The following is a 26,560-nucleotide window of genomic DNA, read 5'->3' on the forward strand; positions in this document are numbered from 1 at the left end:
GTCTGACTGACGACCTGGACTCAAAGCCCTTCCAGATGAGAGAATTTTGCTGTCATTTTGGTTATAATTTTCCCTAATGACTTGGATTTCTCTTTGGCCACCAAATATTTCAAAGTAACTGTTTTTTATGGCACCCAAGAGCTGAAAGCCCCCATGGCAGTTTCCAGGCTAAGGACACTTTATGCAAACCCATCCCAGGAGGAGGAGGAGGAGAGGGAAGAGAAGGAGGAGGAGGAGAGGGGGGAGGAGGAGGAGAGGGGGAGGAGGAGAGGGGGAGGAGGAGAGGGAGGAAGAGGAGCAGAGGGAAGGGAGGGAGGAAGAGGAGGGGAGGGGAGGGAGGAGGAGGAGAGGGAGGAGGGGGAGATGGTGAGGGAGGAGAGGGCGGAGGAGGGGGGAGGAGGAGAGGGAGGAGGAGAGGGAGGAGGAGAGGGAGGAGGAGAGGGAGGAGGAGGACCAGGAGAGGGGATGCAGTCTTGCTCTGTGCCCAGGCTGGAGTGCAGTGGCATGATCCAGGCTCACCGCAACCTCCGCCTCCTGGATTCAAGCAATTCTCATGCCTCAGCCTCCTGAGTAGCTGGGACTACATGCATGTGCCACCACACCTGGCTAATTTTTGTATTTTCAGTTGAGATGGTTTCACCATGTTGGCCAGGTTGGTCTTGAACTCTTGACTTCAAGTGTTCCGCCTGCCTCAGCCTCCCTAAGTGGTGAGATTATAGGCGTGAGCCACCGTGCCTGGTCACACCCCACATTTGACAATGATGCTTTAGGACAATTCCAGCCATTATGATCTCTTGGGTCTAGGATCTTGTCTTGAACCGCATTTGAACCTTTTGGTACATGAACACTGCTGTTGGCTGGCAAATCAAAACTTCCTGGTTTTCAGAAAAAAAAGGCTCAAGAGAGGCGCCTTGGACTTCAAATGGCGATTACAAAACATTTTGATGAGTTAAGTGTAAATGAATCAGAAGCATCTGGATTTAATTAGCCTCCAAACACAGCCATTTCCAAACTTGGGGAAGGGAAGCAGCACACTTGTGTCAAAACACATCTTGAGGGTTTCCTGCTAAATTCAAAATGATGGAAAAACAGATGGAACCATCTGCCAGGCATTCAGGTTGCTCTCCACATGGACCATCTTATCAGGGACACGGAGCTGCGGGACGTTTCTCCCGCAGACACGGACAGCGTCTCTGCGTCGCCGTTGCCAGCCCGTTCATGGCCCACATTTAATTAAACCAGGCCTACGCATGGCTGGAGAGAGCGCGGCTTCCATGGTTTTGAAGATGGTCCAGGGCACAGTCCTCATGGGACTATGTGTGTGGTCTTCCCTTACAGCGGAAAACCCCCGTCTCCTTCTTCTCATGTCCTGTAAGTTTTTCCATGTTACCCACAAGCTGGCCACGGAGGCATCCCATTGCTGAACGCAAGCTGCTCCTGCCGCCGGTCTGTTTCGGTGACGCTGCCTGGTGTCAGGCAGTCGGGGGTATACATGCCTCTTCCCTTAGAGGTTGAGCTGCTCTTCCTCTCCAATGAGAAAGGAGCTGAAAGCTCAAGGGCCTGGGCTGTCATAGGACGTGCTTCCAGAAGAAAGAATCCATGCATGCTGAGGCCAGAATGGAAACAGGTGCAATTCTCTTCAGAGCTTTTAAGAACTCCTGTATTGTGTCTAAGCTTTTTATGCTTTGGAGTGTCCAAATTTCCCAGTGAATGGTCAAATAATAATGATACTGTGCATTTGTTCAACAAGAGTCTACAAGGTGCTTTCACACACACAACCTCGTGAATGGGGTGAATCACCCATATTTTACAGAAGAGGGAATTGGTGGATTGAGGTGAGATCTGCTCAGGGTCTCTCAGTCAGGAAGGGGTAGGGCTGGATTTGATCTGGATCTTGAAGTTCTGAGCCTAGGGCATTTCCCAGTATTCGACATCTACCAAGGAGGAATGTGACAATTACCAGTGTTGTTTACGTTCAGATCTCAGACCTCCACTTGCCAGCCAGACACACCTTCCCGCAGGTAAAGCAGAACGAGCCCCAGGCTCCTGAACTCCTGCATTGCTGCCTGGGACATCCTGGTCAATGTGTAAGCACCACCCGCGCCCCATCTCACTCTCAACAGTGTCCAGCTTGAGACGATGAATTATGCGGATACTCTTCTCTGAATCCAGTCTAAAAGGGACAGATTTTTCTGGTTTTATTTGGATAAATCATTGAACTTTTCCATCCCAGCTGCTTCCCACAAACATTTCCAAATGGGTGTTTTCCTGTTTTGAGGAGTAATGTCTCTGTTTTCAGAGACTTTGAAGATTTCCTGATAGAAATACCTAATGCAGGCTCAAAGCATTGGCTGAGTGCGCACATAATTCTCTACCACCTAGTTCTTACATTGTGCCTTGCTCCAAAGTTAACCATGGTTTCCTCATCTCTCTCAAAGAAGGAAGGAGTGGAGAGACCTGCTGTAAGCAGATTCCCATGTAGGCCAAGCTGGTTTTTGGTGCCTTCCTGCTTCTCTTTCTCTGTCCACCTCCTACCCTCAGGTTCCATCTCTTCTCATCCCCACGGACGATGGCACTACCCCCAGGCTGTCCTCCGAGTCCCCACAGATGATGGCACCGCCCCCCAGGCTGTCCTCCGCGTCCCCACAGACGATGGCACCGCCCCAGGCTGTCCCCTGCATCTCCACAGACGATGGCACCACCCCAGGCTGTCCTCTGCGTCCCACAGACAATGGCACCACCCTCAGGCTGTCCTCGGCATCCCCACAGATGATGGCACCGCCCCCAGGCTATCCTCTGCACCCCACAGACGATGGCACAGCCCCCAGGCTGTCTTCTGCATCCCACAACAATGGCACTACCCCCAGGCTGTCCTCTGCATCCCACAGACGATGCCACCGCCCCCAGGCTGTCCTCTGCATCCCACAGACGATGGCACCACCCCCAGGCTGTCCTCTGCGTCCCACAGACGATGGCACCACCCTCAGGCTGTCCTCGGCATCCCCACAGATGATGGCACCGCCCCCAGGCTGTCCTCTGCATCCCACAGACGATGCCACCGCCCCCAGGCTGTCCTCTGCGTCCCGCAGACGATGCCACCGCCCCCAGGCTGTCCTCTGTGTCCCACAGACGATGGCACCGCCCCCAGGCTGTCCTCTGCATCCCACAGACGATGGCACCACCCCCAGGCTGTCCTCTGCGTCCCACAGACGATGGCACCGCCCCCAGGCTGTCCTCTGCGTCCCACAGACGATGGCACAGCCCCCAAGCTGTCCTCTGCGTCCCCACAGACGATGGCACCACCCCCAGGCTGTCCTCTGCATCCCACAGACGAAGGTACTGCCCCCAGGCTCTCTCCTGTGTCCCACAGATGATGGCACCACCCCCAGGCTGTCCTCTGAGTCCCACAGACCATGGCACCGCCCCCAGGCTGTCCTCTGCATTCCCACAGTCTCTTGCATCAGCTCTCACTGAATCTCCCACTTTTTCCTAATTGAGATAGTTTTTCCCACTTTTATTGCCCTCGCATGAGCCTTAGGGAAGGACCTAATGCCCTCATTTCCACGAATCCTCCTAGGCCTTGTTAAAGGAGCTGTTTTGGGGAATATCCCATGTGCTATGGAGTCATGGAGCTCACACGGAGGCCAGTCCCTGAGGGGTGGGGAGGGAGTGAGGAGAAGAGGGAGGAAGAAGGTTTCTGTGGACACTGCTGTCTGCCGGGAGGGTTATCTGCATGGCTCTACTGGGCCCTTCACACCTAAGAATTGCTTGCTTTCATGAGGGGGTTCAGCCACCTTCTTAGAAGGAGAAGGGATCTTGTGGAACTGTGAGGACCTGGAAGTCCACAGAGACCGTGCACCACACGTGGGAATGGGAGCAGGGCCTGCAGCCCGGCCTCTCTGTTGTGGCTTCTCCGTGTGGACACTCCGTTTGCACACTCTTCCCTAGAGCAGCCTCCTCTGCGGACCCGCTACCATGTCCCTCCAACGCTAACTGGCACCCAGACCCCACGGCCCCCCCATCCTCTCTCTAGCCACTTCTTCCTTCTAGCCCTTACTAGTCTTTGGTTGTAAGCAAAAGAAACCAACTCCGGTTAACCTACCCAAGAGGGAAGTACTTGGGAAGAATGCGGGGCATGTGTTCAGTAGGATACCTTGGAAGCAGATGTTGAGAAAGGGGTTTGAGTGCAAGTGATTTTTTTTCTGAGAGGTGATCTCAGGAAGCACAGGTGGAGTGGGGAGATGAGTTGAGGAAGGAAGGCCGCGATTTCAGGGCACAAGGAGAGCAGGTTTTTTTAGGGGCCTCTGGGGAACTATACAGACTTGCCTCTGAATGAACCCCGCCCCCGAGCTGGGAGAAGCCAGGGCGTTTATCTTCAAACTCCCATCTATCCTTAGTTAATCTGGGGGTGTTAACTCTCCTGAATTCTGCCACAGGCAAGCAGAATACAGTTCCAGTCAGAGAATGTTCTCTGGCAGAGTCCAGGTGAAAAGAGCCGATGGCTATGTGGTGGTTTATCTCCAAGATGGTTCCTGTCCATCATCCCCTTCCCTCTCTGTGTGCATAAGCTATTCCTGCATTGAGAGATGGAGTCTATTCCTTGACTGCCCCTGCACCTTGAATCTGAAATCAAATTGAGTGAAAGTGATGTCTCACAGCTTATGCCTGAGTCTCTTGAAACACTCACTTTGAGAGGAATCAGCAGCTTTGGAAGAAGTCCAACTACTTCAAGATCGCCATGCTATGAGGAAGCCGAAGCTAGCCATATGAAGAGGCTGCATGGAAAGAGAGAGAGAGATGGAGAGAGAGAGAGAAGACAGGGGACCTGGTGCAGTGACTTACACCTGTAATCCCAGCACTTTGGGAGGCCGAGGCGGTCGGATCACCTGAGGTCAGGAGTTCAAGACCAGCCTGGCCAACATGGTGAAACCCTGTCTGTACAAAAATACAAAAATTAGCTGGGTGTGGTGGCGCGTACCTGTAATCCCAGCTACTCAGGAGGTTGAGGCGGGAGAATTGCTTGAACCCAGGAGGCAGAGGTTGCAGTGAGCTGAGATAGCACTTCTGCATTCCAGCCTGGGTGACAGAGCAAGACTCTGTCTCAAAACAAAACAAAACAAAAACAAAAAAGAAAGGAAGAGGGAGGGAAAGAGGAAAAAGAGAGGCTCGATTAGCTCCGAGATGTTCCAGCTATTCCAGACCAGACACCAACAGGTGAGTGAAGAAGACTTCAGATGAACTTAGCCTCAGTCATAGACTGACTGCAATTGTATGAGAACAACCAGCCAGTTGTGTTAACCTCCAGAACCATGAGAGGTAACAATAAATTATTGCTGTACTCTGTTAAGTTTCTGGGTGGCTTGTTATGCAGCCCCAGATAACAGGAACCGCATAAGGGAGCAGTGAGTACCAGGGATGTGGGCAGGACGCCTATGACATTGCTGCAGGCAGCACGTGCAGTGAAAGAGAAACCCTGTGTCCCGGCCTCACAGACGATATGCCATGGATCTCTGTAGTGGCACAGAGTGGACAATCACTTTAGAGCACTGATCTCAATGGCTGCTTTCTCTGAGTCATTTTGCTCAGGAGTTAAATTCCCTGGAGGGAGGGAGTCCCAGTTGTCCCATCATGAGTCAGTGGAATCTTGGGTCCAAGATGGCAGGGGATCTTGACTGACAATGACCTCAAGATTGCATACAATGGGGAAGGTCGTTCTTTAAAAAAAATGGAGAAGTGAGGAGACCAGAAAAACAGCAACTAAATTACACAGGCAGGTGGCACATGCCTGTAGTCCCAGCTATTTGGGAGGTTGAGACGAGTGGACTGTTTGAGCCCAAGAGTTTGAGGTTGCAATGAGCAATGACCACACCACTGCACTCCAGCCTGGGGAACAGAGTGAGTCCCTGTCTCAAGAAAAAGAAAGGAAGGAAGAAAGGAAGGAAAAGAGGGAGGGAGGGAGGGAAGGAATGGTACTGGGAAAGCCAAACCAAGAAATGCTGCCTTTGTATGTGGCTTCATCCCCACCCCCAGTTCACTTTGCTAACTGCCTAGGTCTCCAGGTACCAATCTAAATCTCACCATAGGAATCTGCTTTATCCAGCTCATCTTTCCAAGTCAGGCCACGCAGGGCCCTGGGTAGTCAAATGGTCAGCTTCCCACCCCTTGGTCCAAAAAACTGTGGCTAGGTGGGAGGGCTCAGTCACATGTCACAAAACTTCATTATGCCTCTTGGCAGTGACCACAAGGACAGGCAGTCCCTTCTTGCTGCAGATGCAGAGGTTAAAATCATGGACTCTAGGCTGAAGCCCCAGCCTCACCCGCTGTAGGAGTCTGCCAAAGGTCCTCAAGCTCTGCTGTAGGACACTGCCAAAGGTCCTCAAGCTCTGATGGTCAACTTCCTTATCTTTAATCCCAGTACCTACCCAGAAGTTTCCTGGGAGGACCAAATAAGAAGCCCCAAGCACACTGCCTGACCTATGTGTTTAGTGGCGGTAGTCTATCGTTTTTATCTACAAGCCCAGTTCTGCCACCATGTCTGCTACTTAACCCTCAGTAAAGAGGACCAGATTCCTCCATGCAGAGGGTAGAGCGGTTGGCTGTTTGTGCCTCGCCAGCACCCTTACCCTCATCCTCGCAGTGCGTGCTGCTTTCCAACCACCAGACCCTGCAACGCTTTGCCTGAGGGCTTTCTTTGTCTCCTGGGGTAGCTCTACTCAAGCCAGGCCAAAGTGCTAGGGAATTAAAGACCACTCTCCTCCCCTCTGCTGCCCTCCACCAATGGCCATGGAGTGTGGTGTACAAGTACCCCAGCACCCTTGCCCCTCGGGTGGGATGCATCAGAGGTTGTGTTCCATAGTGCCTTCCAGAATTCTGCAGACCAAGAGGGTCAAGCTCCAGTTGTCCACGGTGGGAACTTGCTGGATAATGGATCCTTATTTGGCTGGCTGTCCTTCTCCGTCTCCCTTCCCCACTCCCCTGCTGTTGTTCCCCATGCTGGGATCCCCTCCGAAATAAATTACCTGCCCTTGAATTCTTGTCTCAAGGTCTCGGTCAGGAGAACACAGACTAAGCGGGGAAGGGAAACTCTTTGGTTTATGAGAAGGATCAGCCTTCCAGTGTTTTTATCTTGTCCTAGCTTCTGAACCTCATGAGGATGGCTCTTGGAACACCTGGGCTCCAAGATTGGACCCTGTGATCCTCAGAACAGCCTCCTGTGCTTCTAAGCTACTCCTCACCCATATTTCTGCAATGTTGTCATGAATTCAGTTCTTTTGGCCTCTCTATCCAGCCCCCCAACCCCACCCCCATTGCATTCTGTGTTCTTAGGGGTTGGGCATGGCCCACTAAGACGCTTCTCAAACTTGACTTGCAGAAGAGGGAGATATATGAGCAGAGGGCTATGGGATTTCTGCAGCAGCTCACAAGCTCAAAATTCATTGCATCATCCCCCCACCTAAAAGTGTATGTGAATTTTGCATTTAATGCACAAATAAATGTGCTCTTAAAAAAAGAAAGTGCTTGTCTTAATGTACACATTAATGTTTTCAATGACATGCCATTGGGTAGAATTGATGGCTCAGTAAGATGGTCTGTGCTCACTCTTGGAATTGAGGATTTCCTGGTAGTTCCTCAGGTTTCTTACTGTGACCTGTTGGAGAAGCACGGTTCACCAGATGTGATGGTTAATTTCAGGTGTCGGTGTGACTGGATTAAGGATGCCCAGACAGCTGATGAAACTTGATTTCTGGGTGTGTCTGTGAAGGTGTCTCCAGCAGACGTGAGCACTGGGATCAGTGGGCTGAGTGAAGGAGCTCTGCCCTCACCAATGAGGGTGGGTGTCGCCAGTTCCATAGAGGCCGAAGATAAAACAAAAGGTGGAGGAAGGGTGAATTCTCTCTCTCCTTGAGCTGGGACATCCATCTTCTATCCCTGGATGTCGGAGCTCCCAGCTTTGGGGCTTCTGAACTCCCAGACTCACACCAGTGGCCTCCCTGGTTCTCAGGCCTTCAGACTTGGACTAAATTACAATGCCAGCTTTCCTGGGTCTCCAGCTTGCAGATGGCAGATCCTCTGGTGTTATGACCACTTTCTATAATACTTCTTCTTATTTCTCTCTCTGTCTCTGTCTTATTGGTTCTGTTTTTCTGGAGAACCTTGACTAACACACCAGGTAACTTGGAACTAGGTCTTTTTCAATCTATTTACTGCCCAAGGTGAAGGCTAGAAAAGATGCAATCTTGGAATTTCTCAAGTTCCAGAAACGAAGCTTCTCAGTTGTGATGTGGCCCTGCCTGGGGAGAGCTGAGCCAGAGGACTTTCTCCATGGTCACTGGCATGGGGGCACAACTCAGTGCTCCCCAAATCTCAAATTCGGTTCTTTGCTCCAGGACAGATGCTTAAACAGAAGTAACAATGGTCTTAATAGTTCCTCTTGCCAATACATCCTGTCTCTTGGAACTGTTCTCTTCTTTTGAAGACTGTTGGGAGAAGAAAGAAATACAAAGAAGAATTTGAAGATTTCCTTGATGGCCCAAGGGATACTCTCAGCACATCTGCCTTCCTTAAAGACCTTATTAGCATCCCTGAAATGTGCTATGAGAGATTTAACCCATTTGGTGCTATTCTTTAGAGATAGCCTTAAAAAAAAATATATATATATATATATATATGTATATTTTAGAGATGGGATCTCCTTATGTTGCCCAGGCTGGTCTTGAACTCCTGCATCAGCCTCTGAAAGTGCTGGGATTATAAACATAAGCCACGTCACCAGGCCTAAAGATCTTCTCTAAGGATGTATAGACCCCCCAGCTCCTTTCGCTTTCTGAACGCAGAACACCATGAAAATTTAGTACTTGTTGAAAAAGGCATTAATACATTCACGATTGGGAGGAAGAGGTGAATGAGAAGTTGTCATGGGGGAGTGTTAAATCAGATCTGGGGTCCTGAGAAGGTGTCCCATTACTGAAAAAAATGCATATAGACCACACGTTGAACTAAAACCATGAAGTCCTTTTACCTTTTGAAATTGATTCAAAAAGCGAATGGGATTTAATTTCATGTTATTCTGGCAAAACCAGTGAGGAGTTCCCCTTTTCCACTTTCCACCCACAATTTCATTCAAACATAAGGTACCAAGTAGGGACCTAGGAGAAAGAGGAGAGTAGGTGGGGTGGATGAGCAAATTTAATTGCCTTTATCCCATAGCAAGCGGGCCCATTTACCCATTTACAGCGTAAACTTCACAACAGGCACATTGTGGTAACAACATCTGCACTTTATAACATGTCCTGTGACAGCAGTTCTGTCATTATCTGCTGTGTGTTTTATAATGTGTGCTGTACCCAGCGCCCAAGGCACTGTTGGGGAAGGCCTTCTTTCTACAGTGATTAGATTTATGGCCCAGGCCTCCATCTGAGGAGAGATTAGCAAGACTAAGGCTGTTTAGTTTGGCAAAGATGAGAGAAGCCGGGGATGTGATAGGTACATTATAGAAGATGATAAATGAAGAAAGGGAAGGCTTTGGGGCTCCCTTATTTGCCATTGCAAAGACAATTAACATACTCCCTTCTCCACCCTAGTATGTCATTAACTCGGGTGGTTGGAGGCTGTCGGTGGGGGCAGAGACCTCCGAAAGCCAGGCCTTGAGGGAAAGACGCTGTGCTGATGGGAAATGTCTGGGTGGATGTATTTATATGAAATAGCACCTAGGCTACATTAGTGAGGATCGGTTTACGGGGCCATCCATCCTACTTTGGGGCACGGTGGCAAGGCTGGCTGTGCCTCCTGCTTCCCCGGGGAAAGGGCCCCAGACGACTTGGCACCAGTCCCCTCCATGGGGCGTCTGGATTTCCAGCAGCCTTTCTTCCTAGGAGACGGAGAGGGGAATCCAAGCACGGCATGGAGGCAGATATCTTGAAGGCTGCAGGGAGGGCGTGGCCTGCTGCTGCCAGGCCTTAGGACTGGTAAGGGCCAGCAGGAAAGCGGGTCACCGAGACTGCCCACCTTGAAGGGAAGGCACCTGGAGACTGCTGGATTTCATCATTCACCTGGGACTTTCTGTATCTCTGGTCCCAAAGAGAACCCTTTCATCTTTCAACACCGCAGCATGCAGGCCGGCTGGCTTACGAGGAAGGGGTCCTGCCTTTGGTGGCCAATGTTAGCACTGGGTTAACAGCACAGTCTTGGGGGCATTCCTAGTCTCCTCACTTCCCTTTTCCCAGCTCCCCTTTTCATTCCTCAGTTTCCCCACTGGAGATGGTCCTCCTAACCCCCACTGTGTTTGGGGGTGGAAACGGTGAAGGGGTCAGTATGTTAATATCTGACTACACTTTGAAGTCAGCAGCACAAAAGCCAATCTCCTTCAGGGCTGTAAACAATTCCCAACTGACCAACTGGGTGGCATGAATTCCTCGGCTTCCACCCTTCCCCTCCCTACAGCTCCTTGAGCAACTAAAACCTAATCCCCCCTGCAAAGGGGACTTTCCACAACTTCCCCTGCAGGCTCTCTCTCCCTCCCTCCCTTCCTCTCGCTATCCCTCTCTCCTTTTTTCCTTTCTTTCTTCTTTCTTTTCTGTCATTCTTTTTTCTTTTTGTGTTAGTAAACTTGTTATGGGAATCATAATGCGGAACGTCCTGCTGTCTGTGTATAGTTTAGGAGTGTGGCAAGCAAATCGGTTGATGGCTGTCTCTTGCTTTCTCTGAAATGGAAACACAACAGTATCCATATCTGAACAGTGCTTCTCAGACTCGCATGTTCTGGGGCAAGAAGAAATCTTACGAGGTTGGAAGAACAACAGAAAGAACAGAAGAAAGAACTCATTTCATTGATTTGTTGTGTGGCTTTGGGCAAGGAATCTAATCCTCTGGGCCATTCTCAGTAGACGGCAAAGACCTGTCCCCTCAATTCAAGTTATAATATGAAGATTGGGATTGCTAAAGATTTTGAATGCGGGGGGGGGTAAATGGGTGAGGGGGGATGGGGGAAGGGCACAGGGCCTCCCAGAGCCAGTGGTACCTTTTGTGGAGATGCTGAACAGAACATATATGGGGAATTAGGATGATGGTGGAGGAGCTGGTGGAGTAGATAAGACGGGACATCCGGACCACAGGCCATTGATAGATGCTAAATGGGTTGGGGAATATTATTTTAAGGTATGATCCAGATTTATACTAATATTTAGTATTAAATATACTAAATTTATACACATTTAAATTAATTATTTCAATTGTTTAACTGTGCGTTTTTTTCTTTTACTAAGTGTCAGATCCCGCTGAGCTTTTGTAAATAGTAGAATTAATAAAGAAAGTAGCACATAGTAAGGCAGACTTTTTTTTTTTTTTTTGAGACGGAGTCTCACTCTGTCGCCCAGGCTGGAGTGCAATGGCGCGATCTCGGCTCACTCAAGCAATTCTCCGGCCTCAGCCTCCCGAGTAGCTGGGATTACAGGCACACACCATCATGCCCAGCTAATTTTTGTATTTTTAGTAGAGACGGGGTTTCACCATGCTGGCCAGAATGGTCTCAATCTCCTGACCTCGTAATCTGCCCACCTCGGCCTCCCAAAGTGTTGGGATTAGAGGTGTGAGCCACCACGCCCAACCAGTAAGGCAGATTTTATAGGTATCCACACCTACATTGAAAAATGGAATGAAGTGCGTTCTGCAAAGGCAAAATCATGGAATCCACCTGCAATGCACAGAATGCTGAGCGCTTTATTATCATAGGCTCTTGGCATTGGAGACGCTTTAACATCTCCTAATCCTGGTTGTGTTTTAATGAAGTTATATGTGGTGTTTAAGGTCTCAGATCAGAGGGAGGAATAACAAAAAGAGCCTCCATGTAGGGCACTTGCAGATAGAAAATGGAGAATGTTCTTAGTGATGGCTTCATCCTTGTAAAGGTGTCAGTGAGGGTTGAGCCAAGCATATCTCATTTCAAAACAGCCTGGACCTGAGCAACATTTGCTGTTTGATTCAAAATACCTTGACATTCCCCAGAGCTCCAGAACAGGTGTATGTTACATAGGTCCATCTGACACTCATTCTAAAGGTATGATCAAGATTATGGTTAACTCTCAAGTCAAATTGTGATCGCCATTTCTTTCTTTTTTCTTTTTTTTTTTTTTGAGATAGGGTCTCTGTCGCTCAGGCTGGAGCGCAGTGGCGCAGTCTCAGCTTACTGCAACCTCCGCCTCCCAGGCTAGAGCAAATCTCCAGCCTCAGCCTTCTGAGTAGCTGGGACCACAGGCCCGCACCACTACATCCGGCTAAATTTTTGATATTTTTAGTAGAGACGGAGTTTCACCATGTTGCCCAGGCTGATCTTGAACTCCTGGGCTCAAGCAATCCACCTGCCTCGGCCTCCCACAGTGCTGGGGTTACAGGCGTGAGCCACCGCACCTGGCCCACGATCTCCATTTCTATAAAATGACAGCCACACTACCCTAGAAGTCCTCTGTGGGTGTTCTGTTCCTCAACAGAAGAGAACAGCATTTCAAGAGGCAGAATCTCCTTTTCAGTGCATTCCTATCCCCCCATCTCAGTCCTGTCTCCTTCTTCCTGTCCATCTCTGGGGCCCTAACCAGAAGGAGTCCACGCTGGGTGGGAGGATGGGCGGTAGAGCAGGCTCTGTCTTGGCCAGCTGCCTCTGTCCCACTCACAGGGGGTGCAGGGTGTCCTAGGCCACCCTGGCTTTATTTACCTCCCAGCCACAGTGAGGTCTGGGAGCCACTCCCAGGCAGGGCCTTCTCCCTGGCCAGCGAGTCATTTCGGGGGGCGGGAAGCAACCCAGGGCAGCGCCTTTGAGAGATGTGGCTGACTCTGTCTCAGTTCTCCCGGGTGGTCAGCCTGTAATTTCAAGATTTACTGGCCTCACGGAGATAGCCGGCCTCAAATGGGGCAACACGGGTAATTACAAGAGGCTGCTCCACTAATCCTGGGTTACAAATGTTAGTTAGAAGGTAAATAAGCGCCGTGCAAGCAATTCCTGGGGCTGCATGGGCCCTGTGTTCTCTTCGCTTTATTTTCTTTTCCTTAAAGAGGGGAGAAAAATGAGAGGTGGTGGGAGGAAGGGAGAGAGAGAGGGAAGAGGAGAGAGAGAAAGAGAGAGACTAAAAAGAGAGGCTGATTCTTATTAATTTCATTATGGCCACTAAGAATGAGAAAGTCTTTGAAGCCCAAATTATTTTAATACTTTTTTGGTTTGTTTTATATTTGGAACTGGAAAAAATTAGGAAGCTGTATTTCTAAAGTTCAAGAGAAGTAGTGTTGCAGATTCTGCCAGTTGGTGGCTGAACTTGGGCTGACAGAATGATTTTTGGGAAAATGTCTCCAAACTGAGCAAAAGAAAGAAAACTTGTGGGACACCTGCCCTCCTGCAAGAAGCCTGGAAGCTGGTGGGTCCTGGCTGTTGCTTTGTTGCTCTTCCCCTCCAGGCATCATCAGGAGCAGGGGTGGGTGAAGGGGTCTTTTTTTTTTTTTTTTTTTTTTTTTGAGATGGAGCCTCACTCTGTTGCCCAGGCTGGAGTGCAGTGGTGTGATCTCGGCTCACTGCAACCTCCGCCTCCCGGGTTAATGCCATTCTCCTGCCTCAGCCTCCCGAGTAGCTGGAACTACAGGCGCCCACCACTATGCTCAGCTAATTTTTTGTATTTTTAGTAGAGACGGGGTTTCACTGTGTTAGCCAGGATGGTCTTGATCTCCTGACCTCGTGATCTGCCCGCTTTGATCCTTTGGGATTTGGCCTCCCAAAGGGGTCTGTTTCATACTGTGCTCATTATCCTCAGAGAAGCCTACCCAGGAAATAGGAGCGTTAACCTGTGTGCTGTGTGAAAGTGACAAGAGGCAGCCCAGGCCTTCTGGAGATGGTTGGCGGCCTTTGCCAGACACTCGCCCTTCTGGTCTTGGTCCCTCAGGAGATGTTTAGAGGTCACTCACTGGACCCAGGAGGGTTCTGGAAATAGAACTGATGCCAGAGGAAGAGAACAGCATTGGGCTGTTGGCCTCTGATGCTTCTCTCAGTTTCCAAATATTGAAACCCCACCCTGGGCTCTTTGGATGTGCTCCTGAGAGCTACATGGACCCCTGCTGAGACTGAGACCATCACACCCAGAGACCACCTCACACCAAAGCAGTCCATGGGAGGCTGCTCTCATGGGGTGTGAAGTTTTCACTGCCTTCGCATGAAAGGTCCATCTCCTCAAATGGCCCTGTGGCTTTAAGACCCCCTCAAAAGACCCACTGCATCCACCCTCTGCCCTGGAGCAAGCTATTTCCGCCCCTCTAGGAGTGGAGGTCCTCTGCAGAGCAGCCTCTGGCTCCTGCCCTGGGCTTCGTCTTCTGAACAGTGTGCCTACGGGGGCCTGGCATCGTATGACGTAACAGCACTGTGACATCAGACCTCTCCAGCATGTCCGTCCCAGCCTGGAGCAGAGCAAGCTCACTGAAATCACCAACGCCCTTCCTCTTTGCTCCCGTGATCAGGCTCCAAAGTGGCTATTTCCGAAACTTCAGCCCGAGCATACTTATTTTGTCTTGATCAAATTGAGTTTGTGGGCCGCCTCTTAGGATAAGGCAATTTAGGCCCTGATTGGGGGTGCTGTTGCCCAAGCCTTGGAGACCAGACAGACATCTGGGGCACAGAAGTAGTGGCAGTTGTTTTAGGGAAAGTGGATCTGAGTTCTCATATCGACTCCATCACCTATCAGCTGTGAGATCCTGAATGGGCCACAGTAAACTCTCTGTGCCCCCGGTTCGCTGTCAGCCACATGAGGATGACGGCAACTCCTGCACAGGTATGGTGAGGATTGCAGGAGTTGACAGAGGACGACGACCCTGCATGTTCCCTGGCAGGCAGCAAGCACGGAATCGATGCCAGCTGAAACTGGATTTGAGTGGATGCATGAGCCTTCTCTCAGGGCCTTCAACTACCTGACACAGAAGTTCTGTGTTCCCTGCATAGATTGGTCTTGTTCAAGCTGCATATTTAGCAGCAAATGAGTCAGGTGGAAAGTTTCCTTTGCGAGCAATGCCAAGCCCTGAGCCCCTAAACTCCTTTGTTAGCAACTGAAACTGAATCACTCAACTCTTCTCAATATCTTTTCTTTTGCATTTTAGCTAACACTGATGACCATTTGCTAGGCTCTGCTCTTTTTTTTTTTTTTTCACTTTTACTTACATAAAGTGTCTCATGTAATTCTTAAATAACCCTTGTGAAGTTAGGACTTCAATGAGTGTGTGTTACGGATTCAAATCCTGCCTGTACCACTTTTGAGCTCTTTGAACAAGGGTAAGTTTCTTACCTCCCTGTGCCTCAGTTTCCTCACTGGTAAAATACCTACAATGATAGTACCTGCCTCTTGGGTTATTGTGTCATTAAATAATACATGCAAATGCTAAGAAAGGGGCTTGGTAGACAGGAAGCATTCCATACGTGTTAGTTATAACAGCAAGAAGCTCAGAGAAGTTAATTGTCTGAACCCATTCCTGATAGACCTGTGCTGCCTGACTCAAGACCCTTCCGCAGTGTTGAACCAACTTCATTTGCAAATTCTCCTCTCACCACGAAGTGACCCCACCTCATGGAGTGGCCTGACTGGCCACATCTGATTCTCCATCATCCGGCTGCACAACCTCGTGGGTGGCCTTGGCATGGAGCAGTTGTTACCCACGGCTCCTGCTGCTCTCTGTAAGATTGAATGCATCCAAATAGATTGTGATTGCCCTTCTAGTTGCATGCTTTTTTCTCTTCCTTCACCTCTGGCCCTTCCTGTAGCCTTCCACCCACCTTGCTGGTCACCACCTGGCTAGGTGTCTGTAGTTATTTCAGCTGTCCATTGTGGGGCAGTGTCTGGGGCTGTATGGCACGCATGTCAGGTGAAACAGAATGGAGTACACAGCACACTGGTGGGTCCTGGGGACACGTAAAAGGAGGATACACAACTCAACTCTCCAGGTGCCATAACCAAATGGGAGAAATAGGACATGCCAAGAAAAGGCCTGAGAATGGAGCCTCCCAGCCTGGGGCACATGAGCATGGAGCACAGCACATTCTGTTTCCCCACGTCAATGACAGTCAAAGTTTCATTCTAGGCACTGAACCCAGAAGGCTCCCTGGAGGAGGTGACCTGAGTACTGTTTGAAGAATTCATGTGATTTAACAGAGTCAATGAGAATACACACACACAAATTCCTTCAGGAATTCTAGTGTGCACTATAAAATTCACTGTAGTAGTGGTAACTCCCATTTATTGAACATATAGTATGAGCCAGATACTTTGTACAGTTACTTTCATGGATTAGTTCTTTGAATCGTCACATTCCACACAAATTCCTTCAGTTGCTATGTTTATTTTTGTTATTTTTATTTATTTATGTATTTATTTATTTTTGAGACCAAGTCTTGCTCTGTCGCCAGGCTGGAGTGCAATGGCATGATCTTGGCTCACTACAACCTGGGTTCAAGTCCTGGGTTCAAGTGATTCTCCTGCCTCAGCCTCCTGAATAGCTGGGACTACAGGTGCGTGCCACCACGCCCAGCTAATTTTTGTATTTTCAGTAGAGACGAGGTTTCACCATGTTCGCCAGGATGGTCTCCATCTCTTGACCTCTTGATCCACTGCCTTGGCTTTCCAAAGTGCTGGGATTCCAGGCCTGAGCCACCATGCCCGGCCACTATGTTTATTTTTATAAAAATAGCAGTAATAATGATTACCCCCACTGAGCACGGAAGACGGGCCAGATGCCTGAAGACTGTGCTCAGGATCCCATCTAAGCAACACAACCATCTGAGGGGTGGGCATGAATATTTGCATTTTATATGTGACAATGGACACACAGAGAGGCTGAGTGACCTGCCCCAAACCACACAGCTGATAAGTAGTGAGCCCACATTTGACCTTATAAAACCTGAATCACAGGGATGATACAACGTAACTCTTCCATAATGTGTCCCCCTACTTTTTTAAAAGAATCATTACATTGAAAATGTGTCATTCACATATTTCTCAGCAAGGCAATGTGCTGGCACTGAATATTGTAAGATTTAGTCTCTGCACTCCAGGTTTTCCATTTAGTTGTGGTGCTTAGAACTAACATCAAGGCTCTAAGTTAAATAAAACAATTGCAAAATAGAGCTGATTTTCTGATAAGGTGGGTTTTTTGCATACTAAGGCCAAGATTTACACTTTCTTTTTTACTTTTATTTATTTTTTTTAGAGACAGAGTCTTGCTCTGCCTCCCAGGCTGGAGTGCAGTGGTGCAATCATAGCTCACTGTAGCCTCAGCCTCCTGAAGTGCTGGGATTACAGGCATGAGCCACTGCACCCGGCTCCAGGATTTACATTTTAAAAGTTTTGTCAAAAATCTCATCAATGAGTTCATTTCCTGAGTAGGTTTTCTAACTTGTTTTTCATGATTAATGATTAATGCAGACTGGTGAAATGCCTCTGCTTTTCAACCCGTTTACCGCACTGGACCTGCTGGGCAGGGAGGCGGCTTCTGTCCTGGCTCCCAGTGACCCTGCCTCTTGGTGTTCAGGCCTTTATGTGATTCCTCCCCTTGGATATGGGCTGGACCTGGCGACCTAATGCTAATAGAATATGGCAAAAATGCTGGCATATCACTTCTGTGACTAAATAACAAAACACTCGTGACTTTGGTTGTCCATTCCTTGCAGGATATGTCTGGCACTCCTGTTTGCTCATTCTGAAGAAGCAGGCCATGCTTTGAGCTGCACGATGGAGAGGCCCATGTGGCAAAAGACTAAGGAGGCCTCTGGCTAGCAGCCAGTGGGGAGCGGAGTCCTGCCAGCAACCATGTGCATGAGCTGGGCACAGACCCTTCCTGGGGCAAGTCTGGAGGAAAGAGTGCTGTCCCTGACACCTTGATCACAGCCTGGAGAGACTGGGAAGCAGTGGACCTAGCTGAGCCCCTCCCAGGCCTGTGATCCGTAGGAACCGTGAGACCGTAACTGTTGCTTCCAGCCACTGAGTTTTGGGGTATTAGTTATGCAGCAGTAGATACTAAATGCCTGCTAGAGAGTCAGGCACCATCTCTGGCAGCACCCTTCTGGATGGCCCTCATTTTTCATCCCCAGCCCTGCCCACCTGAGCTTCTCCCTACCAAAAAGAAATGTGGGAAAAAAAAACCTCTCTACATTGTGGTATCTGAAATGACAAACTCATGCCTTGGTTTGTTCACCAGTGGAGAATCGTCAGTCCTCCTCTTCCTTTGCCACAGCGCATCATCCCTGCCTCCCTAACACAGCTCTTCACTTGTCTCAGGTCATGGCACGCTTGTGGGGTTTCCTCCTACCTCCTTGGTGGCTCTGTTTCAGCCTCTTTCCTGGTTTGTTCTCTTCCTCCACCTGTCAACATGGGAAGGACCCACACCTCAGGCCTCGGTCCTTCTGTCTTCTCTGTGTACACCACCCCCCTGGCAACCACACTCCATTGCTCAGCCTCTAGTGCCACCTGGATGGCAGTCTCCCTTTCCATTTCTAGTCCAGGCTTCTCTCTTGAGTCTAGATTCACATATCAAATTCCCTACCTGAGATCCCCACTTGGGCTTCTAATAGACATTTCAAATAAAACATGTCCCAAAGTGAATGCCTAGTCTTCGTCTCAAAACCTGCAGCTTGAGATGATGGCAACATCAGCCTCTCAATTGCTCAGACCAAAAATCTTGAACTCATCTTAGCTCCTCCTTTTCGCACTCTTCATCTTACCTGTCAACAAATCCTGTCAACTCTGTCTTTAAAATATGGCTAGAATTCAATCTGCTCTCACCACCTCCGTGGATCCCATCCTGCTCCAAGCCATGATCATGTGGCCCCGTGATGGCCACAGCAGCCCCCAGCTGTGTCCTGGCTGCTCCCTTCATGCCTTCAGTCTGTTCTCTGCACGGAAGCCACAGTGATGCTTTCAAAACCTAAGCTGGGTCACACGTTTGTTCCGAACCCTCCAATCCCAAGACCCTCTGTGGGATATCCTTGTTTACTCTGCTCCAGCCACAGTGACACCTGGCTCTTCCTGGACAACCTGCCTGTCACATTTTTACCATGGCTCTTTGCCCTGGCTACTCTAACCACCTGGATGTTCAACACATTCAACTCCTTCACCTCCTTTAGGTCTTTCTTCAAATGTCACCTCCTCATTGAGGAGAAATTAAAACTACAACTCTAACCCTCAGTATTCCGAACCCTCCTTACCAGGATACACCTTTTCTTTTCTTCACCGAACTTATCATCTTCTACCATACTATAAAATTTACTTTTTAAAAATTATGTTTGCCAGGGCAGTTAAGTGAACAAAAAGAAATAAAAGGCATCCAGATTGGAAAGAAAGACAAAAAACTAACTCTAGTTGTAGATGACATGATATATAGGAAATCCTAAGAAATCCCCTAAAGAACTATTAAAACTAGCAAACGAGTTTAGCAAGGTTCAGGATATACAAGAACAATATACAAAAATTATTGTATTGAACAATCCGAAAGTGAAATTAAGAAAACAATTTCATTCATAATTGCACAAAAAGATAAAGTATTTAAGAATAAATTTAACAAAAGAAGTGCATGACTTGTGCATTGAAAACTAGAAAGCATTGTTGAAAGAAGTGAACTGGAAGGATATCCCACGTTCCTGTGTTGGAAGGCTTAATATTGTTAAGATGGCAATGTTCCCCAAAGTGATCTCCAGGTTCAATACAACACTTATCAGAATCCCAGCTGCCTTTTTTCTTTTTTTTCGCAGAAATAGGCAAGCTTATTGTAAAATTCATATAGAAATTCAAAGGACCCAGATTAGCCGAAACAAGTCTGAAAAAGAACAAAGTTGGAGGACTCACACTTTCAAATTTCAAAGCTTCCAAAACTACAGTAATCAAGAGAGTGTGTTGGTGATATTAGGCTAGACATATTAATCAATAAAACAGAACTGAAAGTCCAGAAATAAATCCTTACATTTACGTTCAATTGATTTTCCACAAGGGTGCCAAAACAATTCAATGATGAAAATTAAGCTTTGGTGTTGGGAAAACTGGATATCCACATGCAAAAGAATGAAATTAGATCCCTACCTGGCATCATATATGAAAATGAACTTAAAATGCATTATAGGCCTCAATGTAAGAGCTAAAACTGTAAAGCTCTTAGGAAAAAACATAACAGTAACTCTTCATGAACTTGATTTAGGCAAAGCTTTCTTATATATAACACCAAAAGCACAAATGGCAAAAGAAAATATAGATGAATTCACCAAAATTGAAAAACTTTTGTGCTGCAAATGTTACCATTGAGAAAGCAAACAAAACAAAACAAAACAAAAAAACAAAAACAATCCACAGGATGAGAGGAAATATTTTCAAATCATGTTTGGTGAGGATTTAATATCCAGAATATGTAAAGAACTGTTACAATGCAACAACAAAAAGGCAAACAATACAATTTAAAAATGGGTGAAAGACTTGAATAGCCGTTTTTCCAAAGAAGGTATATAAATACTCAACAAGCACATGAAAAAATGCTTCACATCATTAGTCATTAGCGAAATGCAAATTTAAAATCCCAAAGAGATATCATTTCATACCCACCAGCATGGCTCTAAGAAATTTTTGTTGTTTGTTTTTCTTTGAGACAGGGTCTCGCTCTGTCATCCAGGCTGGAGTGCAGTGGTGAGATCTTGGCTCACTGCAACCTCTGCCTCTAAGGCTCAAGTGATCTTCCCACCTCAGCCTCCAGAGTAGCTGGGACTACAGACACATGCTATCACACCCAGCTAATTTTTGTGTTTTTCTAGAGATGAAGTCTTGCCATGTTGCTGAGGCTGGTCTCCAACTCCTGGACCCACGTTATCCTTCCATCTTGGCCTCCTAAAGTGCTGAGATTATAGGAGTGAGCCACTGTGCCTGGCTGGCTCTAATAAATTTTAAAAAAGAAAAATAACAAGTGTTGCTGAGAATGTGGAGAAATGGGAAGCCTCGTATATTGCTGATGAGAATGTAAAATGGCACAGTCACTGCAGAAATGTTTGGTGGTTCCTTAAAAAGTTAAGCATAGGATCATAATATGACCCAGCAATTCCACACCTAGGTATACACCCAGAAAAGATTGAAAACAAATACTTGTTCATGAATGTTCATGGCAGCACTCTTCACAACAGCAAAAAGGGGTAGACAACCTAAATGCTCATCCGTTGAGAAATAAATAGATAAAATGTGGTATATTCATACCGTGGGGTATTATTTGGCAATAGCAAAGAGTGAAGGATCAGTGCCACACGTGGATGAACCTTGATGGCACGATGCTAAGTGAAAGAAGCCAGACACAAAAGACCACGTATTTATTGTGTGATTCCACTTATAGGAAATGTTCGGCCTAGGCAAATTCATAGAGACAGAAAGTAGATTAGTGTCTGGCAGAGGTGAGGTGAGAGGGGCTGGGATGGGGGAGTGACTGCCGATGCATGTGTGGTTTCTTCTTGGAGTGATGAAAGTGATGATTGCACAACTCTGTATATCATAGAAGCCAGGTAAATGTACACTTTTAATGGGTGAATTTCCTGGTACATGAATTATATCTCAGTGAAGCTGCTTCAAATAAATTATGTCTGTTGCTCCTTGGCTGTCTCTACTACCTGGAGTGCGAGTGCAGGGACCAGGGGTCCTTATGTGTTTTGTTTGCTTGTGTCTTCCCCAGCAGGAAGAGCAGTGGCTGGGACTGAACACATATTTGATGTATGAATGAATACAGGGATATTTTTGTTGAGTTTTTTATTTCAGAAAAACATAAATACGCTTCAGCCGGACATTACTTTTAGCTATGGTCTATCCTATAAAACTAAGTATAAAAAACTGATGTGCTACTTTCCTCAGATGAAATTTTGGTAGGAGATAGTGAACAAAATAAGATAACTCTGGAAGGTGCCTGGCCAGGGAGGCAGAAGGCAGGACGGGCTGTGGTGACGTAAGCTGGGCCTGGTGGGAGTGGACTCTGCTGTCCCCTCAGTCAGAAGGTGCGGGCTGGTGACTGGGGCCACCTCCCCTTGAGTGGACTCTGCTGTCCCCTAAGTCGGAAGGTGCAGGCTGGTGACTGGCACCACCTCCCCATGACCGGACTCTGTTGTCCCCTAAGTTGGAAGGTGCAGGCTGGTGCCTGGGGCCACCTCCCCTTGAGTGGACTCTGCTGTCTCCTATGTCAGAAGCTGTGGGCTGGTGACTGAGGCCACCTCCCCATGAGCGGACTCTGCTGTCCCCTAAGTCAGAAGGTGCAGGCTGGTGACTGGGGCCACCTCCCCTTGAGTGGACTCTGCTGTTCCCTAAGTTGGAAGCTGCGAGCTGGTGACTGGGGCCACCTCCCCATGAGTGGACTCTGCTGTCCTCTAAGTCAGAAGGTGAGGGCTGGTGACTGGAGCCACCTCCCCTTGAGTGGATTCTACTGTCCCCTAAGTCGGAAGCTGTGGGCTGGTGACTGGGGCCACCTCCCCTTGAGCAGACTCTGCTGTCCCCTAAGTCAGAAGTTGCAGGCTGGCGACTGGGGCCACCTCCCCGTAAGTGGACTCTGCTGTCCCCTAAGTGGGAAGGTGCAGGCTGGTGACTGGGGCCACCTCCCCGTGAGTGGACTCTGCTGTCCTCTAAGTCGGAAGGTGCGGGCTGGTGACCGGGGCCACCTCCCTGTGAGTGGACTCTGCTGTCCCCTAAGTCGGAAGGTGCAGGCTGGTGACTGGGGCCACCTCCAGCTTCAGGTTGTTTTTAAGGCTCTGGCAGCCCACCCAGCATCGCTGTGTGAATTCCAGAAGGGTGCCTGTCTTCTGGCCCATTTCCCGCTCACTGAGCCCACCGCTGAGGGGAAGGATTTGTGGGGAGAACAGACACTCAGCTGGATTTTAGCCTCCTTGTAAACCCTCCCAAGTGCTCTTAAAAAGTATACAGCAGGCTGGGCGTGGTGGCTCACGACTGTAATCCCAACACTATGGGAGGCCGAGGCGGGTGGATCACGAGGTCATGAGATTGAGACCATCCTGGCTAACACGGTGAAACCCCGTCTCCACTAAAAATACAAAAAATTCTCCGGGCGTGGTGGCGGGCGCCTGTAGTCCCAGCTACTCCGGAGGCTGAGACAGGAGAATGGCATGAGCCCGGGAGACAGAGCATGCAGCAAGCTGAGATCGAGCCACTGCACTCCAGCCTGGGGGACAGAGCGAGACTCCGTCTCAAAAAAAAAAAAAACAAAAACAGTATGCAGCATGGACATCCCTATACCATGGTTCTATGCATTTAAACATTTTAGAATTGGTGTGTGAGATAGGGAGTCCAGGGCACACAGCTTCTATGGGGCTGGTCTCAGGGAATGCTCGTGGGGAGTGGGGCTGTGAGAGAGGGAAGGGACAGCCAGCAGTTAAGGACTGATGATGAAACTTGTTAGCAACGGTGCTTCCTCCTGGTGGAAAGGCTGAGGAGCACTGCAGGACACAAGGCTCCCAGGGTTCTCCCAGCCTGGGGCGAGGGAGCTGGAGCGTGTATACACCAAGTCCTATCAGTCCCAGAAGGATGCTCCTGGGAGGAGTTAATGCTCTGACAATTCCAGCCTCTGTGTTCAGGCCCAGAGGCCTTCCAATGCTTTCAAAAAGCCCCCAGGTCCAGAGATGCAATGCCTGGCAGCTGAAAGTCAGCTTGTACACACTGCAGTTGTAAGGCCCTGGGGTTGTGGGTGTGGCACCCATCATTTCTCCTTGGTTGCCAATATTTTAAAAAATAGGACAAAATATACATTTCTTGTTTCTCGGGGCAAAAAAGTGAAGACCTGGCAAAACTGGCTGACATTCCTACTAGGCTGCAAACAGCTGGCCATGCCGTTTTGAGCAGGGGCCTGGGATCCGATTCATTATCACCCCTTCCAGCCTGCTGCAGGTATCCACATCTCTGACAATGCCCCGGTGGGCACTTGCTTTGTGATTTGTGTGATTTGTGCCTGAGACCACAAAACTCCTAGCCTGAATTGCATGGGTGATGGTTGAACTGACGTGCCCTATGAAAAGAGGCATAAAAAAAAAACAAGATATAAATTAAAAAAAAATTTTCCCCAAAGGGCTATGACCAATACATGCTTGACTTGTGAGTGTTGAAAGCTCTGGCCAGTATTTTCATATATGTAGTTCCTGCTGAGCCTCCCTTAAGTCTAGGGTGGGCCAGGGCTTTGATCCAGGGCCCCTTTGTGCATGATTGGCCCTCACACTTGCATGACCAAGCCGCAGATGCTCCAGGACTCAGCAGGCCAGCCCTTGTGCGAGGCCCCTGACCTGGGCCTGGCCTGGGGCCAAGGTGTGGTAGTATTCGCTTGCTGGAGAGATCCACTGAGGCTGCGTGACCTGGGAGCCCACTCAGACCAGCGCGGGGGCCAAGCGGGGCCTTTGGGCCGGATTCACGGAGAGCGCTGCCTGTTACTAGGCAATAGGCCATCAGGATGATCAGTAGCCACAGGCAGCAGCGGGAACAGATCCTTCCCATAGACTCTGCCTCACCCTCTCGCATGTGGAACCGGCTTCCACCGAGCAGTTTTGGAACAATCATTTCAGAGCCAATCTTTTAAATTAGTCTCTGTAAATATAGAAATTGACTTTGGGTTGTTTCATTTTGGTGCTGGCCTCCACCTTGGCGGCCCTGTCTTGGGTCGTGCAGCAATTCTGTAAGGACAGGTTTTTGCCACCGACATCCCTATATCTACATGGTCCCTCTAGCCATGTTAATTTCAGAGCAGTGGGACTTCCTACTCCGTGGCTTAGGGCTCCCAAGAGACATATCCCAGGAGGACTGAGCCAATGCTGTTGCCGTGTATGATCTAGTGGAAGTCACGTGGCATTTTCCACCTAGGCCACCAGCCAGGGAAGTCACACAATTCTGCTCAGGTTCAAGGGGAGGGGGTATGGACTCCACCTCTTGATAGGGGAGGGGCAAGGTTCTGGAAGAGTGTATGGCAAGGGTAATTGTGCGAGGCCAGTTCTGGAAAATAAACCTGCCACCATCTCCTGATGGGGCCCAGGTCTGTAGGGCAGAGCACAGGCCCAGGGATTCTGGAACTCTGAGGCCATCTTGGGCCCTTTGGTATCAGCAGTCACCGTGAGCCAAAGGACAGTACTGGCAGCTGCTCCCAGGGTCCCTGGGGATCGCAGAGGTGTTTGGGGTTTGGATGAGCTAGCTGTGGCCTCTGTAGCCGAGACTGAATTGAATTAACGGGATCAGTGTCAGAATCCCATCAATATATGCTGTTTCTGGGGTTTGCTAGGTGACAGACTCACCCCTAACTTTTGCAGGCTCAAAGCAAGAGTACATATGGAGCTCTACCTGCCATATGTCTAAATATTTACAGTTTATAAATAAAGCAAACTAATTGTTAAATGACTACCTTATCCTGTCATCTTGGCAGATATCCTTCTTAATGAACTGAAAAGCTAGATTTGAATTTGGATTTCCTGAATTCCTGGGAGTTTCCTAAGTGGGGAGAACCATCCCTCAGCCCTCAAAGCAAACCCTGTCTGGCTTCACACCCCGGCTTTGCTCCACACTGTAAAGGGCTTCAAATGTATGCATGTGCACACCGCAGCCTGCACCTCTGAGCTCCTTCTGCGTACCTTGCAAACATCTACTGTTGGCCACTTCTTGGACTTGAAAGTTTATGCCCTAGAAGCACAGTCCATCATGGGACGGAGGACCAGGGAAAGAGGCCCCACAAGTGCTGGAAGCAGGCTTGGGGCTCTATGGGCAGGGAAACCTGGGGCCCCAGGACCCTAGAGCGTGGCCTCCAAAAGAGGATCTGGGCTCCTGGTGGGCCCATCCTAAACTAGCAGATTTCTTGCTTCATGGTGGGGGGATCACAGTGGCCAGAGAAGGGCCATAGGCGTTCTTTGAAGCGTGTGGGAGCTCCAGCGCAGGGGCCCTCTTGATCAGGTCCACTGATGTCTGGCTTGACGCTGGGGCTCCTGGCCTACCTGGCTGTAGGTGGGCTGCTTCTGCCAGTCTCCAGCCTGCTTTTTTTTCCTTTCTTTTAAAAAATGGAGTCTTGCTATGTTGCCCAGGCTGGGCTCTAACTCCTGGGTTCAAGCAATCCTCCTGCCTTGGCCTCCCAAAATGCTGAGATTACAGGTGTGAGCCACCATGCTCAGCCGGGGCTATTTTCTTTGGATGGATTTTGTTAGGTTTGCGGGGAGACTGGATGGATCACTAGCATGTCTTTGGTACTTATGAAGATGAAAGATATTTTGTTATTTTTAGTTCCACTAAGCAGGGGGGATTGGAATTAGAGGAATTGTTGGATGGTAGAACCTGTAGCTACACAAAGCTTCCTTAGCACTGCCTAGTAATAATAACTTCCACTTCCTGAGCCCTTAGGAAGGGCCAGGCAAGTGTCATTGTTTTCTACATTGTATAGATGAGAAAACTGGGGCTCAGAGAAGTTAAGTAATGTGCCCAAGGTCCTACAGTTAGTTAGTAGCAATTACAGCATTTGAACCAGATATCGCCAAAGCACATGCTCTTGTTACACTGGACAGGAGACCTTGATGTGAAGG

The 26,560-nt window shown here is 48.8% G+C and overlaps 1 annotated feature.

Annotated features, from left to right (window-relative positions):
• Nucleotides 1,968–2,137: an enhancer, noted in NCBI's record as "experimental_110694 CRE fragment used in MPRA reporter constructs". NCBI's record gives its function as "activates a minimal promoter by MPRAs in K562 erythroleukemia cells, with activity observed for both the introgressed and non-introgressed 9:98335967 variant alleles {active_cell/tissue: K562}" and the evidence as "EXISTENCE:reporter gene assay evidence [ECO:0000049][PMID:34662402]".

This window comes from Homo sapiens, chromosome 9 (genome assembly GCF_000001405.40).
Source record: "Homo sapiens chromosome 9, GRCh38.p14 Primary Assembly".
NCBI classification, from domain to species: domain Eukaryota; kingdom Metazoa; phylum Chordata; class Mammalia; order Primates; family Hominidae; genus Homo; species Homo sapiens.